Genomic DNA, 18,496 nt, shown 5'->3' on the forward strand with positions numbered 1-18,496 from the left:
GGTTGCATTAAATCTATAGATCCATTTGGAAAATATTGCCAGGCTAACAACATTAACCTTTATAAACAATGAATAGTCAAAGGTTTTTTTCCATTTTTTTCAAAATGTTTTCTATAGTTTTTGTGTATATATCTTATACTTAACTTGATAAACTTATTTTTGATGTCATCTCAGATGGAACATTCTGAATTTTTTGTTTTAGATTGTTAATTGCTAGCATATAGAAATTCAGAGGATTTTATATATGTTGACCTTATATACTGGAAGTTTGTTGAACTCATTTCTAAATTCTAACCATATTTGATTAGAGCCCTTTGGACATTTTATACGTAAGATCATGTCATATGCCAACAGACATAGTTTGACTTCCTTTCCATACTGGAAGCCTTACATTTATTTTTCTAGACTAATTGCCATGTCTATATCCTCCAGTACAATGTTAAAAACAAGTGTCAAGAGTGGAAATCCTTGTCTTGTTTCTAATCTTGGAGAAATTAGTGAACCTTTCAGATAACTTATGATGATATGTTGGTTGGTTTTTTATGGATCCCCTTTAAAAGGAAGACAGTTCCCTTATCTGCCTCATTTGCTGCATGTCCTTCTCATAGGGAGTTTGAGAATTCTCAAGTGCCTATGCATCTTCTGAGATGATTATGTGGTTTTTGTTCTTTATTATATCAACATAGTGCATAGCACTTGTTGTATGTTGAACCAAATTTTGCTTTCCTGAGGTAAATACCCTTGACATAATGTGTAATACTTTTTACATGTTTCTGGTTTGTTTTGCTAATATTTCCTTGATGATTTTTGCCCCTGTATTCATAAGGTATAGTGTTCTTCGTTTTCCATATTTGAAATGTCTTTATCTAGCTGTGGTATCAGAGTAAACTAACTCAGTGTAGAATGGGAAATCATGCCTTCTCCACTTTTTTGGAATAATTTTTAATAAATTCGTATTAATTTTTTAAGTGATTCTAATAATTCACTAATGAATTCTTCCTGATGAGGTCAGAGAGGTTAATCCTAAGAACACTTACATGAGCTTGGAAGGAGACCCTTCCCCAGCTGAGCCTTAGCCTGGGCCATCACCTACATCTGGACTGAAGACCTAGAGAAACTGTGAGTAATATGTGTGTGGTTTTGAACCACTAAGATGTGTGGGAATTTGTTATGCATCAAGTCATAAGTAATATACCTGACAGTAATTGCAATGTGGTATTCTGGGTTAGGTCTTGGAACAGATAAATATATCATTATTAGAAATTCTGAGGCTGGGTGTGGTGGCTCACGCCTGTAATCCCAGCACTTTGGGAGGCTGAGGCGGGCAAATAACGAGTTCAGGAGATCGAGACCATCCTGGCTAACATGGTGAAACCCCATCTCTAATAAAAATAGAAAAATTTAGCTGAGTATGGTGGTGGGCGCCTGTAGTCCCAGCTACTCAGGAGGCTGAGGCAGGAGAATGGCCCAGAACCCAGGAGGCGGAGCTTGCAGTGAGCCAAGATGGCGCCACTGCACTCCAGCCTGGATGACAGAGCATGACTCTGTCTCAAAAACAAAACAAAATAAAACAAAAAGAAATTCTGGTAAAATATGAAGGAAGTCTGTAGATCAGTTAATAGTTTTGAAATAGTGAAATTCTTAGTTTTCATGAATATACTATGGTTAGAATAGTACATTCTAGTTAGCTGAAGGGTATATGGAACTGTCTGTTCTACCTGTGTATCTTTTTGTAAATCTGCAATTATTTCAAAATAAATTTGTTTTCTAAAATTATTATATTTTTTAAAAGAAAACAAAGACATAAGCAAAAAACTTTGGCTTCCAGAGATGCATGGACACATAGGGAGAGAAAAGCAATCTAGAGTTTTTTATCTAGTTGCCTTTCCAAACCCAAGTTCACCTGCTTCAAGAAGGCACCATCAAGCTCCAGGGACTGTCATCCTTTCTCTCCTTCTCCGTTACCCACTCAGCAGTTGGAGTGTCAGCAACCACTTATTCAGAAAAAGCTGCGTTTCCTTCACATATCCCAAAAAGCCCCATGTGTGGACATCATTTAGCAGTGTATATTCAGGATCCCACTGAAGCATTTTTGGGAGATATGACTCTCAGATATTAGAAGCCAAGAATAAGAAATTTCAGTGACAGGGAACATAAATCATATTTCTGCATTCAGGATAATGTTTTCCTGGTACAGGCATTTCTTTTTCAAGTAATCAAAAGACAACTGTACCTTCAAACCTTTCAGAAAAATATGTTCTAATTTAGTTCTTTTGATTCTACAGACTCCATCAGGAATTGTTTGGGACCGTGCATTCTGTTGACACTCACTTTGTGGAATTATGTTGCCCACTGCCAACCCTAAAGCCACCAAGGTAGCAGGTAAGCAGAGTACAAAAAATGTTTCTAATAAATTGGTTTAGGCCAGTCCCTACTTACAGAGACCTGGATATGAATCTTTTACACAACAGATTTTTTGCAGTTGGATGCTAGTGAGTGGAGAAAGCAGCTGACAAAGTGCTGAGCAATGAGTCTCCAGACAAACTCTAACTGCATGGAAGATGTGATTTCCCACAATATCTTAAACCAGCAGTTCCTTAGAGGCTGGCCTGGACACCACAATTCTAAAAGAGATACCATTTAAGAGAAACCAAATTCTAGACCAGATCATGAGGCAAACACCCAGCACTTTATCTCCACATTCTAACCTGATTAGAAGTTGCAGTTCAATGAAAGAATGTCTTAGATATTTGAGAGCATGACTTTATCTTTATTTAATTTAGCCTTGCTGGAATTTAAAACTGTAGGGCAAAATTCAGTCAACCTCCTAAATTATGTGAGTTTTTGTTTTTGTATGTGAGTTTCTGCATACACATAAAGAAACTCCTATAGTTTAGGAGGTTGACTGAATTTTGGGTGTACAGAAACTCATACTTTATGTGCTGCTTCTTCAATCAGGGTATTCCTGAGGGAAAACCAAAAGCAATCCTCAAATGCAAGTACCCAAATTAGGGTTGAGCAGAGTAGCAAGGGGGCAGATTAAAACATTTTATAAAGACCATTATGCATCTACTTCTGCAGTGACTAATTACCAAGTGATTTCTATGATCACCAACCATATGGTTAAAACAGCAAATGGGAATGAAGAAAACAGAGTTACATAAATGATATAGCTGAAAGAATGGAGTTCATAATGAAGCTCACAAGGGTCATTGGTCAAATGCCTAAGATTGCAGTGGGAAGTTTCAAGTTACAGCTTTTTCTAGGTCTTTAGAAAGCTATCACTCCAGTGAATTTTTCAAGTAACTCTTTATAATTTCTATCTTCTTCCTCAGTGGATTTCTTAAACCATAGTTCATAGAACTACATTTCCATGCATAACAGAAGAATTATAGAATTCCACTAATAACTGTAATGTCTCTAATAGCTATGTAGAATGTAAATACACTTGGTAAACTTATGTGATAAGATTTAAGCATGTTTCTTCAATAACAGATAAGAATACAGTTGATGAGCCACCATAATCTAACACTGAGAAATGGGCAGTCACAGAGGACAGTGTATTCCATTCATCATAGGGGGCACATTTTCACATTTGTGAAACACAGATGCACCTTAAATTTGATAGTGTTAAAACATTATTGACGAGACGGCGACCATAACGTGATTGTCCTCATTTACATATACATGAGCTTGGTCTATAAACCTTCCATTGACATCTTCAGGTCATACCATCAACATCATGTCTTGCATAGGGGGTTTCAGACGGTTGGAAAGATAAACTCACAGGAGCACCATAGGAATCTCGCAAGAAGTGCAGCATCACCAAAGTGTCAGATTAGCACAGGTGATAATAATATGGGGAAAATCATGAGCAGATGAGTTGAAGAGTGATTCAGGAGAGTTACATCTCAATGAGAGAAAATTTAGGAAAACCTTTGTCAATGTATTTTTCTTGTATGTTCCATCCCATGTAGGAATGACACAAGACAAATATCCACATGTACGCACATTGAATATATTTTTTCCAGTAATTGTAATGTATTTATGTTATTACTATGTGATTTATTTATAAGTGATAAAAGTACTAGTTTCTTCATTTGTTAGTGGTTTTGTTCTTCCATTCTGGTGCATGAAATAATGACATGTTACAATTGACGCAAATGATATATCTCGCAATTTATTAGAAAATTAATTTTTAGGGGTTAGAATAGGCTTGATAGTATACAACAATCTTTATATGTTATCATTTCATAGAATCCATACTGACATCTCAAGAAGTAAGCATGATTTTCACCTCTGTGGTCCATTTCGGAGTCTGAGCTGACTTTCTACAGGACAGGTATAAAGGAACCTTGAGTATGATACTGTCTGCCCCAGAGTCTTTGCTCACTTTGACTATGTAGAATGTGTCTTCTCTTACATGGTAAATAATTTTCAGGTCTAGTTAGACAGCTCAGCCTACCCTCTGTCATGAAGATATTTTCCTAAATTGTTTTGTTAATACTCTTTTATTTTTATATTTAAGCCTATGAACCAACTAGAATTGATTTTGTGTGTATGTGAGGTCAAAGGTCAGATATTGGTTATTCCCTGTGGATATTCAATTTCCTGGAACATTTTAATAAAAATTGATCTTTCCCCCATGCATCAATGTATAAATCAATTTTTATATATGTATATGTCTGCATTCTAGCTCTGTTTTTATTTTTTAAGTTACTGGTTGTTTCTTCTATCTTTGTGCAAATTCTACACTGTCTTATTATTATCATTATTATTATCTTTTTTTTTTGATACAGAGTCACTCTGTTGCCCAGGCTGGAGTGTTATGGTGCAATCATGGCTCACTGCAACCTCCTCCTCCTGGGTTCAAGCGATTCTTGTGCATCAGCCTCCCGAGTAATGGATTATAGGTGTGCGCCACCACACCAGGCTAATTGTTTTGTATTTTTAGTACAGATGGAGTTTCACCATGTTGGCTAGGCTGGTCTCGAGCTCCTGACCTCAGGTGATCTACCCGCCTCAGCCTCCCAGCATGCTGGGATTACAAGTGTGAGTCACTGCACCTATTCCACACTGTCTTATTATTAAGAGAGTCTATTTAGAACAATAATTTTCTCTCCAGAGATTTTTTTATATTTTTTCTTTTTTAAGAGAGATAGAAGATTTCATCCGGTTGTCCAGCTAGGGTATAGTGGCTCAGTCGTAGAACAGATTATGTGTTCAAACTACTGGGATCAAGTGATCCTCCCCTCTCAGCATCCTGAATAGGTAGGACTACAGGCACAAGCCACCATGCCTGGTTAATTAATTTTTTTTTTTTTGGTAGACACCAGGTCTTCCTGTGTTTCCCATGCTAGTGTAGAACTCTTAGCCACAAGCAATCCTCCCTGCTTTGTCTCCCAGGGTGCTAAGATTACAGGTGTAAGCCACTGTGCCTGGCCCAGAGCCTCTTCTTTTAGCCACGGTACTTCTCTATAATGAAGTAAAAAATGTAACAACCTGCATGTCTTGCACCTACACCAATACTTTCAGCTGTACCTTGAATAAAGCAGTAGGTTTAGAACTTTTTTTAAAAAAAAAATTTAATTGTTTTTTGAGACAGGATCTCGCTCTTACACCTGGGCTGGAGTGCAGTGGCAAGATCTTGGCTCACTGGAGCCTCGACTTCTGGGCTCAAGCAATCCTCCCACCTCACTTTCCCAAGTAGCTAGGATCACAGGTGCACAACTCCATGCCCAGTTAAATTTTTTTATTTTTGTATTTTTTGTAGAGATGGGGTTTCACCTTGTTGCCCAGGCTGATCTCGAATTCCCGATTTCAAGCAATCCACCCACCTCAGCCTCCTGAAGTGCTGGGATTACAGGTGTGAGCCACCGCACCCGGCTGGTTTAGAACTTAGAACGTTGCTGTAGACTCTTAAATCCCTTAATATGCTTGTGAATCTGAGACAATCCCCCAACACCACTCCCCAGTTTATGTATACATACTTTCAACAACAGCCAGTAGTATTGAAAACCTTGAGATGCACCCATAGTAACCTCCTGCACTGGTGTAGATGACCCCGTGACAGGTTGCTTCTTCTCCAGACCATGCCCACCAAAGTCACAGCCACATGGGAGCCTCTGAGCTCAGAGACACTGTTTGGGGTCTCCATGCACAAGGGCAGCAGCTCCCTGTCCTTTCTGTTGGTGAGGTGGGGAATTCAGTTCTTTTGAATAAGGCTGAGTTTATTCAATACTGATTCTGCTGGCTGACCAGTGATACCTTAAGACTTTATTTCTTGCATTGTAATATTTATCCTGGTTTTGATATGATTTGTTGTGCAAATGTGTTTAACTCTTGGGTATAATTTTTTTCTTTTTTTGTTGTCATAAACGTCATCTAAAATCAAATTTTTATTTTTGTGTTGTGTGTTTAAGGTCTTTAGTCCTCTGTTTTAAAAATGCATTCACAATTATTTTTCAATGAACACTTTTAATTTTTTTAATCTTTTCTCATATTTCTCTCTCCTAAATTGAATGTGAATATCACTTTTATTAGAAAAGATAGATGTTACACATTCTCTGTTTTATGTTTTTGTGCAAATTTTCTCTGAAATATCTCTGGTTGAAAAGGAGAAGGACAGAAACTGTTCTGGAAGCCAAAAGGCAAAATTGGCTCAGATTCCTAAAAATACAAAAAATTAGCCGGGCGAGCTGGCGGGCGCCTCTAGTCCCAGCTACTGGGGAGGCTGAGGCAGGAGAATGGTGTGAACCCCAGGGGGCGGAGCCTGCAGTGAGCCGAGGTCGCGCCACTGCACTCCAGCCTGGGCAACACCGAGACTCTGTCTCAAAAAAAAAAAAAAAAATTGGCTCAGATCCTTATGCTTAAAAAGATGTGTGAAACTTTCTATTATATGGCTTAGTTTGCTGTACGTGTGGAAGGTTAACAAGGTATTGATTTGTGTAGCAGTACAGTAACACTTCACGTCTGAATACAAGGAGCAACCACTTCCTAACTGTGCAGGTGTGAACTTCATGATGTTGCTTTATCTTCCGCTTATACAAAGATTTAGACAATGGCTGGACTCCGTAATTCCTTCCACCTCACTTCCATAAATGTGTGCATGACATTTCTTTGTACAGATCACCTAGTCTATTAGATAATAATTTTTCTTATTTTTGATGAGTGATTATTAAATTTGGTTTTAGTTCTCAGAGATATAAAAAATACCACTTAGAAAATGTGTACATTGAGTGCTGTAATCAGAAAATACTTTTGTGCCATTGACTTGTAAAAAGGGAATTTCAATTTTTTATTTATTGTCATTTTCATCTACCTTAATATGCTCAAAAGGCTTTCATGCTTATGCTCTTTTTAGATTTTAATTTTTGTTGTCTTAGTCAAAAAACATGTGAGGGTTGGACACACTTGTTCAAGATGTGTGAGACATGAGCAATCAACAGAGCAAAAACACTGGTATTTTATGGGAATATGTAATAAGAGATGGGCACTTGCCCTGCTAGGTGTGGCAGCCGTCAGGGTCTGTGGGCTTCGGTGCTGTACACAGAATCGACAGATCCTGCTTGAAGGAAAAAGTGCCCCTCATCTGTCGTACGACAGCCTGGCACCATTTTGTTACGAAACCCAGGTTTGGCCATGGCCACTTCCAAAATCAAGTAACAGAAGGGTAGTAAAAAGAAAGTCACTGGCCGGGCGTGCTGGCTCACACCTGTGATCCCAGCACTTTGGGAGGCCGAGGCGGGATGATCACCTGAGGTCAGGAGTTCAAGACCAGCCTGGCCAACATGGCGAAACCCTGTCTCTACTAAAAATACAAAAATTAGCCGAGCACCGTGGCGTGTGCCTGTAATCCCAACTACTGGGGAGAGAGAGAGACTCCTTCTCCAAAAAAAAAAAAGAAAGTCACTTTATTCCCGAGCTTAGCAATGTGGAAGGGCTGGATTCATATCTAAAGGAACCATATAAGTTTTCTGGGCAGAAAACAGAGTTTTAAGAAGAAAAATTGGCAAGCAGGGCACGCAGAAGGGGTGTGGAGGTGTAGGATCTGCATGACTCGATGGATGACTTATCTCTAGTCATGGGTCATTCGTTAGCCTGCCCAGCATCACTGGGGACAGAGTCAGGTTGTGGATTAACTGATGTCTTGAGACAATCTCTCTGTGGAGGAGAATTCTGGTGGATGCTTATTTTCGTTCAAGATTTGGTAATTTGTAAGCAAACATGTACTTAGATAAGCTGACAGTGCTTGCTGGTTGTTTGGCTGGTGGAAAGGAAGGAGGGAAAAGTTTGAATTTTCATTTCTAAGGAGCTAAGTAAGACATGAACACACAGGAAAAAGAGAAAAAGTAAATATTTTTTAAGGAAAATGAAGTACTTGTTTACAACACCCCACTGTCAAATTCCACTTTATTTTTATGCGATTGGAGCATCATACACATTTGGTGTGCTTCCTACTGAAAGGGAGCATAGTTACAGAGCATTAGAATGGAATCTGTTTACCTGGAGTTGGAAATATTCTTGAGTTTTCAGCAGGAACTTACTGTGCATGTATGGTGTGAGGATCCAAGAATTTCTGAGAATGATTTCCTGCATCTCCATGTAGAGTGTACAACAGCAATAAAATTCATTGCAGCTGAAGAGGGCATTTAACAGTATTAATAATATCTATAAAAGTATTTTATGCATCAGGAAGCCAACTAAATCATGATGTCATAGAGTCCTGACAGAGGGCATCTATAGTAGAAATATGGGTATCTACATGTATAGCTTGGGTTATATTGTGAGAATAATCTGGTGTGTGTGTGTGTGTGTGTGTCTGTATGTGTGTAAAATGGTCAGCCTTAATGAATGCACAAGTGCCACCCTGGGCTGCAGTTAACATATCTAAAGCCATATGATTTAAAGACATCATGAGATTGGAGATAGGATTAGTTTGCTTGTGCATGTCTTTTAGGGCTGAGGATATGTTTCTGGAGTTATCCAGGAAGTATACACAGCATTTAGTCTTAATTATAGTGCAAAGCCCCAAATGTCAGTTGTACCCAGAGCTCCAGTGGAGATATGAGGACAAGTTGGTTAACTATACATACTTAACAGGCTACAGGAGGAGTTGTAAATGTTCATGAAGGTGGTCCTCACCCATGTGTATTAACAAATATCCATGGAACACACAACTCATTTATTTTGGGGCAGAGACTTAACTTTTCAATATATTATAATTATGCCCTATATTTCAAAAGTTCTTCTGAGGACAAAGGCATACAAGTGTGCATTTACTGTAAACCGGCCAAAACTAGTTTATGGTGAGTGATCTTTTATCAGGAGAAAATTACCGAAATTGGTCCCTTGTCTACTTCAATCTGTAGTTATGGCTGGTGGAACAGTGTCTGAGGTCAGTCAGTCAGCTTATCTTGAGGCTAGTGCTTGCTTGGCTGCTAGAGAAACACAGAAACCTTGTGGCAGTTGTAAACATAGTCTGCTTTTTTAAAGTGTAGGAATGTGAGACTTAACGCTTGCCTGGCATGTTTTTAAGTCCTGTTCATAATTTGGTATTTTATTGTTATAAAGAGTCTGTTTTACAGTTTTTATTGTAACGTTAATGCTGATCAGTTGTGCCTAAATTCCCATAATGGGAGGAAGGTATAGTGAAGCATGTTCAACACCCCTCTTGTTGTCATGGCCTGAATTAGTTTTTCAGGTTGCTTTGGCTAACATGCGGGTAGGGAGTCTCCATTAAGTTGGTGGGGGCTTAGGACTTTATTTTGTAGTTTATATTCTCCTTTTTTGTCAAGGTATGCCAGAGGCAGTATTGGTAGCCACGCTTCTATTTTCCCTCATGTCAATGCCAGAGCGGCGTGCTACCTGACCTGTGTCCATCATGTTCCTTGGTGAGACCACTATGTCCAAGGGACTTAGAATCAAAGGTCTTATATCCAATTAAATGTTGTAGGCCAGACTGGAATGAACATGGGCAGGCAGTCTTTAATCCTTAAAACCTCTTTTAAGCAATGTAAGAGCCAAAAACTAAAAGTCAAAAGGTAAGGTTATATAACTGAATTGTCTCTGAATTTTATGCATTGAGCTGTTGTAATCTTGGCTTATAGGAAATATAGCTATACAAAACATAAGTATTTTATTTAGCTGTTTAGGCATCCATGTGCCCATCCTTTATTTGGGGGTCTGAATTAATTTTATTCCACAAGAACCGGCCCTTACAATCTCATGCATTCATACCTTCCATGATAGTCCCTGGGTCTGCAGGAATTGAACAGTTTTAAATTCTGGATATATTAATAAAACAAAATATTCACCATTAACAACATTTTAAGCAAAAATGCCATAAGTCTTGTCTTTTCCTAAGAGTGACAGGACTGAGATGGGTGGATCACGAGGTCAGGAGATCGAGACCATCCTGGCCAACATGGTAAAACCCCGTCTCTACTAAAATACAAAAAAATAGCTGGGCGTGGTGGTGCGCACCTGTAGTCCCAGCTACTCGGGAGGCTGAGGAAGGGGAATTGCTTGAACCTGGGAGGCAGAGATTGCAGCGAGCCAAGATCATGCCACTGCACTCCAGCCTGGGCAGCAGAGTGAGACTCCGTCTGAAAAAAAAAGAATGAGTGACAGGAAAGGAAGCCTATAGATAGATAAACATTTAAATTATTTAATATTAAGTCACAGAATAAATTATATATGTTAGATGCTGGCAGGATTCTGTGTCTTCTTTAGAGGAGCTACATGTATCCTGGAGTCAATTCTTTGTACCTTAACACCAGAAAGATTAGTTAATAGCACCTGATAAGAACTTTTTCAGGGTGTTGGAGGTGGTGATACACTTCACAGTGATTAAAGTTTTTTACCTTTGATAAGCCCCAGAAATAAGTCAGAGACTTAATTTAGGATTCAATTTGAGAGATGTCTGTGAAAGATGTGAGAAAGCTTAAAATACTTGATCAAAACTAAACCACAGGTCCTTGTGAAACAATAGTTATTCATTTAACCAAAGTGATTTAAAGGCAATAGAAAAAGTTACAAGGGTGTAAAAACCGTACTCCTCTCAAATTTCAGGGGTTTCTGAAAAGCATTAAACACTTAACAAAGGCAGCATAGGAACTATCTTGATAAAATGTAAAATCTTGTTTCTTAAGCCAGTTACCAAAAAGTCAAAGGAAAACCTTTCTTAGTGTGAGTGCCTCTCCTTAGAAGAAAGCCCGTTTACATAATCTGGAAGTACAACTTAAGATAAAAAGTGCTTGAATTTAATCAAACATGGGAAGAGTGTGTACAAGATTTTGAGTAGAACTGGGGAATACATGACTCTTAGTAGCTGCATGATAAGTTTCCTGATTACAGTGAAAATTTAGACACACCAAAAACAACAACAACAAAAAAACCCAAGAGTATAGAATCAGGTTATCCTGGAGGAAAACATTTCTTTTATAGACCTCTAAAATAAAATATTTCAGCATCAGCCACAACAACATTTAGAACTAAGGAAAAAAGTTATAGGAGCTGACAAGAAGCTGAAGGATAGAGTTATCATCCCAGGCCACATCAAAGGGAGAGAAAGCTGATAGCAGCAAGACAACAATTGAACATTTGAGATATGAATCTCAGAAGTTTTCAAAAGAAGTAGATTATAGAACAGAAAATCAAAATTTACTGTAATTTTATTAAGAGTAAATTGATACCTTAAGAAAATCTTGATTTAACATAGGGGACCATTCTTTAGAAAGACTTATTAATTCCTTTTTAATTATGGCTAACTTAATTGCATACAAAATTTCTTTTATAAATTCCCCTTCACAAGCCTTATCATGACTTACACAGACCATCTGTCACATGCTTGGACTGTATACTTGTCCTGTAGTACCTGTTTCTTTTTTAATTTTTTTTCAATTTTCTTTTTCTAGATTAACTTTGTAATAAGAATCTGTTGCTTAAATAACCAGTCATTTTACTTTAGGAGAATAATTTCCCATACAAGATTCTTTCTCATAGAAAATTACTCTTTTTCCTTTATAACCTTCCTTACCAAAAGTATATGTTCCTTTCTGTATCTTTCTTCACAACTCTGTTCACCACTTACTGCTTCCTTCCCAGCTTGTTTCATAAATAACCTTTTCAAACCCGTAATTTGAATAAACTTTTATATAACTTTGGAATTAGACAAAATAATTCTTTTTCTCAATAAGGACACCTCTTCTTTGGCACATTTGATAGAAACCTAGGAAAAAAGAAATCCTGAACTATCAGATATTAGTATTGTATAGATGAGAACCATTTCACAATTTTTAGAACAGTTTTCTCTATATAATAACCCTTTCTTAATTGGAAATGACCTAGACATCTAGTAAGCATCCAAAATGATTTTAAGATTTTAAATTATACAAAAATTTCACTTAGAAACATTGATCTCATTTATGTGTACTCAGCTTTTCCATTTTACCAGTTTACCTAGAGTACTTTTGAAAACTGGGATATTACATCAAAGTAGTAATTATTTATTTATGTCCCTATGACCCATTTTTAAAGTCTGTGGACATTAGGTGTTTTACCTAAGTAAGAACCTTAAAGTTCAATATATGGGCATTTTGTCAATAGCACAGAAGATTTAACTGTTTTCACTGAACTAGTAATATTAAATTAGTCTAACTCATCTGTAAAATCACACAAACAAAAATGATTCTGTTTTTGGCTGGGTTTATGGTCTTATAACCTTTATGTCATATCCTGACACCTGATGATATAGACAGAGATAAATACAAAATCATTTGTTCAGTAAACTCAGATAAAAATATATGCTGATCATTTTGAAGATATTTCCAATATTATGTCACGAATAATCTTAAAACCAATTTTATTTCTCAAGGATTACTAAATTTACGTGAACTTGAAAAGCATCCTGACTTAATTTATGAGCACTTATTTACTTGTAAGTCAATTTGGTAGCAGGCTAGACATAACACATAATACACATACATACACACAAACATATCTAAATATGTATACACACAGAAGTAAAGTTCTAATAGCTTTTACCTTGGGATTCTAACCATAAAATAACAGTACACACTCAGTATTTTATAAAGATAGCTGGATACACGTTATTGTCTGACAAAACTGAAACCTGTTTCCATGGCTAAATTTTGTTTTCTGCAATACATAATCCCATGAAAGCTGTGAACCAAAATTTGGGTAAAGCAATCTTTATGGCAGTTTTGTTTTTAAAAAAGCATCTTTTCCCTTTTATTTCCTTTAGTTTTAAACAAGTTTCTTGTGTTTACTTTCTAGTTAGTCCATAAATAATGAGTCTTAGCACCGGCAGCTTAGTAACATCCAATTTGAAGCAGGCAGAAAAGAAAACAGAGGAAGGAAGAGAGGTTTTGATGACTCTGCTTAACTTAATAGTTGCAGTTAACCATTTGAGCTCTAAAGTTTTCTTGCTAGAATTTGCCTATCTGTTTAAAATGTTCACAAAAGTAGGTCTTAATAAGTAACCAGCTGAAATCCCAAAGAGAATGAGAATATGAAGTTCCTGCCAGGCCTTTTAAAAGGAGGGAAAGAAAAAGAAAGAAAAGGAGGTTTGTGAACCTTCTAGCGCTGCATGGTATAGGGTTGGTACCCCCACCACTCTTGCTTACATCCCATCAGGGAGAGCCCCGCTACCCTAGACATGCACAGTGTGAGACGAATCCCTCCCACCTCTGCCATCATGGGGGAAGGAAACTGTTTACAGCTGGAGAGAGCTAAGGGTACCTTTGACTGAAATGAGTAAGGCTGTAGGTGGCTTCCAAGATAGTCAGTAAGATGAAGTTGGAAGTGAAAAGGATAGGAAGAGATCAGGGCCCACACTCAAAGGTCATACACTCACACTTACAAACAAATGGTGAGCTTCCAAACAAACCCCAGTTAAGGGGCTGAGTAGAATCCTGAATTTCTCTCCTCTGTTCAAAACAGCTCCATGGGTGTCTGAGACCAAATCGAGCAATGTCCAGTAGTGCCACCAATACAAATCCGTAAAACACTCAAATGATAGTCCCATTAGTGGACCAGATGAAACAGCAAAGCCCCAGCAACACCCCAGAAGACACAGGAAAGCGGGGTGCACTCTACTAGCTCACTTGGTTGCATGGGCTGCCAGCTTCTTCAGAGGTCACATTCTTTGTACCAGCAAAGTGTTGATGGCTGCAGAAGTTGTGCAAGGAAGTGAAAGGGAGGGTCTAGGAAATGAAAGATTTTCAGCAGCTGCTTGGAAGTTCCCTAACATTCCTGCCATGGGGTCTGCTAGCCTTCAGCTGCTGGTGCTCACAGGCAACCCTCCGCCTTGGTAGAAAAACCAGGCTCACAGGCTTGGGTTGCTCAGAGCACATAATGCTGCCCATACGGGCCACCAAATTTGTTACCAAACACAGGTTTGGCCACTTGTCACTTACAATATTAAATAACAAGCAAGAGGGTGGTAAAAAGAAAGTGACTTTATTTCACAGCTTAGCAATGGAGAAGAACCAGGTTCATATCTAAAGGAGCCGCTTCAGTTTTCCGGGAAGAAAGCAGGGTTTTAAGAAGAGAAACTTTCTTGTGCAGGGTATGCAGAAGGAACATGGAGGTGTGGGGTCTATGTGACTTGCTGTAAAACTTAGCTAAGGGGTCATCTGTTAGTCTGACCAGTGTCATTGAGGAAAGAGTCAGAATGTGGATTAACTATTGTCTTGAGACAGTGTCCTTGTGAGGGAGAATTCTGGATGTTGCCTGCTTTGGTTCAACATTTGGTCCTTAGAATTTCTAAGGAAACATATACTTAGATAAGCTGGCAATACTTGCAGGTTGTTTCACTGGTGGAAACGAAGGAAAGAAAAGGTTACATTTGCATTTCTGAGGAGCTAAGCAAGAGGTGAACACTGAGAAAAAGAAAAAATGCAAAGGTAATTTTTAGGAAAATAGTATACTGGGTTACAACTTAACTTAATTTCACTGTGTCTAAAGAGCAACCCTATACTTCATGCAAACTACATAGCCTGGGGCATTCATGTGGTGAAGAACAGAGAAAAAATATTTTTTTTTTTTTTTTTTTTTTTTTTTTTTTAGTTGTAGTGCTCTTGAATTTATTTACAATGAAAATAACAAAAAGCAGTGAGAAACAGCATTTCACTGAATAACAGCACCTTAGTATTATAGTAAGCAGAGCATGGTTTGGGATAAAATTACCTGAATAATTGAAAGAATTCCATCGTAACATGATTTCACCTATATGTTAGACCCATGGATTCTATAAACCCACTTAGAGCGTTGTACCAATGTTTAAATTACATGCTTTACAGAATCCAATTCAAATGTATTTTTATATGTCATCAGAACTGCCATGGAAAGTGGTAACTATACATGCATTGTGGTTTTAGGTAAATTTTCTTTTAAAAAGAGGAATTGTATATGTCTTCATAGGAAGTGATCCAGGGAAAGCTTGATTTGTTTTAGTAATTCTTTTCTTAATACTTTTACACTCTTTATCCTACTCTCATTTCTTCACATTCACAAGAAAGAGGCTTTGTTTACCTTTCTGCTCACTTTTGGGTGATCATGATGTGTCAATGAACTCAAGACAAATTTACAAGAAAAAAACAAACAACCCCATCAAAAAGTGGGCGAAGGACATGAACAGACACTTCTCAAAAGAAGACATTTATGCAGCCAAAAAACACATGAAGAAATGCTCATCATCACTGGCCATCAGAGAAATGCAAATCAAAACCACTATGAGATATCATCTCACACCAGTTAGAATGGCAATCATTAAAAAGTCAGGAAACAACAGGTGCTGGAGAGGATGTGGAGAAATAGGAACACTTTTACACTGTTGGTGGGACTGTAAACTAGTTCAACCATTGTGGAAGTCAGTGTGGCGATTCCTCAGGGATCTAGAACTAGAAATACCATTTGACCCAGCCATCCCATTACTGGGTATATACCCAAAGGACTATAAATCATGCTGCTATAAAGACACATGCACACGTATGTTTATTGCGGCACTATTCACAATAGCAAAGACTTGGAACCAACCCAAATGTCCAACAATGATAGACTGGATTAAGAAAATGTGGCACATATACACCATGGAATACTATGCAGCCATAAAAAATGATGAGTTCATATCCTTTGTAGGGACATGGATGAAATTGGAAACCATCATTCTCAGTAAACTATCGCAAGAACAAAAAACCAAACACCGCATATTCTCACTCATAGGTGGGAATTGAACAATGAGATCACATGGACACAGGAAGGGGAATATCACACTCTGGGGACTGTGGTGGGGTCGGGGGAGGGGGGAGGGATAGCACTGGGAGATATACCTAATGCTAGATGACACATTAGTGGGTGCAGCGCACCAGCATGGCACATGTATACATATGTAACTAACCTGCACAATGTGCACATGTACCCTAAAACTTAGAGTATAATAAAAAAAAAAAAAAAAAAAAAAACTCAACAATAAGAAAGCACACAGCCTGATTTTTTAAATGTGCCAAAGGCCTTAACTGATGCCTCTCCAAAGAAGATATTCAGATAGCAAATAAGCATACAAAAAGATGCTCTACCTTGTATGTCATTTGGGAAATGCAAGTTAAAACAACAATGTGATACCACTGTTACACAATTGATGAACCTACATTGACACATCATGATCACCCAAAAGAGAAAAAATATTTTTAAGATGCAAAGGAAACTGGAGATTTTTTTAAGGAAAATCAATGAAGGAAGAAACCTTTATTGGCTTCTCCTTTTGGTGACAAATGTATTGTTCTCTTATAAGTAGAAAACTATACTTTAATTATTTCGTAATGTAGTGATTTTACCAGCCACAACTAACAGGATAACATAGGAAAGGCAGGTTGGTGTCCACACAGGGTGACTGAATCTACCTAACACACCATTTACTTTGTTTCTAAACAGTGTGTATTCCTTCATTCTTGGGTTGGATGCAAGATCACTGAGTCATGGAAAACTTTGTCTTTTTGTAGTCAGAAATTAGATGAAAGCATAAAGGGGAATTACTGTTTATTAAATAATTCATTTAAATTACTTTACTTTCAATCTTTGCTTTTTGTTTCTGTACTGCGCCAGTACTCCTGTGAACCATGTCTCAGTGGAGTAATGATGGCACCACAGTCCGGCCTGCATGGCTGTTGGCATGCGTGCTCCCTCCTCGTGCAGCCATGGAGAATGGCTTCATGAAATTCAGCCACCTCTTTCTCCAGACTGTCAGTTCCATCTTCTCAACTCTGAGGGTCTTCCAGAGTCCGTGCCACACCACAGCCTGGAAACTCTCCCCAAGCAGTAACCTGAGGCAACAGTAGCCCTCATTGTTTCACGTCTCTCAGATGTCACTGTCCTTCATTGTTTGATGTGCGCTGTCTTGCAATCCATCCTTCCAGATAAATCGTCCATTTTTACCTGTGATAAGCCATGTCCAATTGCCATAAGTTTTTCCACAACATTTTGTTTCATTCTTCCTGCAATTACGCAATCATTACTGTACCACCGCCTATATGGATATACTTGTCAATGTGAAGCTGAGTAAGGAACAACGTTCACCAAACTCACAGACAAAGATGGACAAGCGAGCAGGCCTTTGTATCACTAAAGGGAAGCTCAGATTGGTAAATATGTAATGTCTGTAGTAGTCTCGTTGGGGACATCCACAGTATGTTAATGAATCAAAGACTGAAGAAGGATCTCAAAAAAAGAATAATATCTCTGTCTCAACTCTTATACACATAACAGACTTATTTACCCTTATTGAAAAAGTCCTTCTAGAATTTTAAATTTACACTTTATTCATATAAAAATGAAAGCAATATTGAAATTAATTCATAAATTCACACGTATCTTGGTATTCTGATTGTGATTGTTCTGAATTAGGTGTTGACACTTTTTCAAAGTGATGATTGATATAGTTGGATGAATATCCACCATGTTTGTTAGAATCTTCTAGTTTTTGCGCTTCCCTGTTTCCATTTTTGTCTTCCATTCATTTTCCTTTTTTTGTGGTTTTTATTCAGCATTTCATATAATTCAATCTTCTTTCTTAGCATCTCAGACTTTTTTATACTTTTTTATTGGTTACTCAAGATAAAAACTTTTAATTTTCATATTCTTAATTGATCTTACATATAAGAGCTTATTTAATATAATTATATTCAATAGCAGACAGGTGCCTTTCAAAAAAAATAGTAGCAAGGCCAGGCCCAGTGGCTCAGGCCTATAACATCTCAGCAGTTTGGGAGGCCGAGGTTGGTGGATCACCTGAGTTCCGGAGTTTGAGACCAGCGTCGCCAGCATGGTGAAACCCCATCTCTACTAAAAAAGAAAAAATACAAAGAATAGCTGGGCATTGTGATGTATGTCTGTAATCCTAGCTACTCAGGAGGCTGACGCAGGAGAATAGCTTGAATGCGGGAGGCAGAGGTTGCAGTGAGCTCAGAACGTGCCA

The 18,496-nt window shown here is 37.9% G+C and overlaps 1 long non-coding RNA gene across 1 annotated transcript in view; it reads left to right on the forward strand.

Moving 5' to 3' along the window:
* LOC105370733 (uncharacterized) overlaps positions 1-18,496 on the forward strand; it is a 440,742-nt gene that overhangs the window by 20,610 nt on the left and 401,636 nt on the right. The window contains exons 6-8 of the long non-coding RNA XR_007064539.1: positions 1,008-1,119; positions 2,286-2,382; positions 4,258-4,342. This is a non-coding gene — a long non-coding RNA (uncharacterized LOC105370733). The remainder of the gene's footprint in view (positions 1-1,007; positions 1,120-2,285; positions 2,383-4,257; positions 4,343-18,496) is intronic.

This window comes from Homo sapiens, chromosome 15 (genome assembly GCF_000001405.40).
Source record: "Homo sapiens chromosome 15, GRCh38.p14 Primary Assembly".
Taxonomy (NCBI): domain Eukaryota; kingdom Metazoa; phylum Chordata; class Mammalia; order Primates; family Hominidae; genus Homo; species Homo sapiens.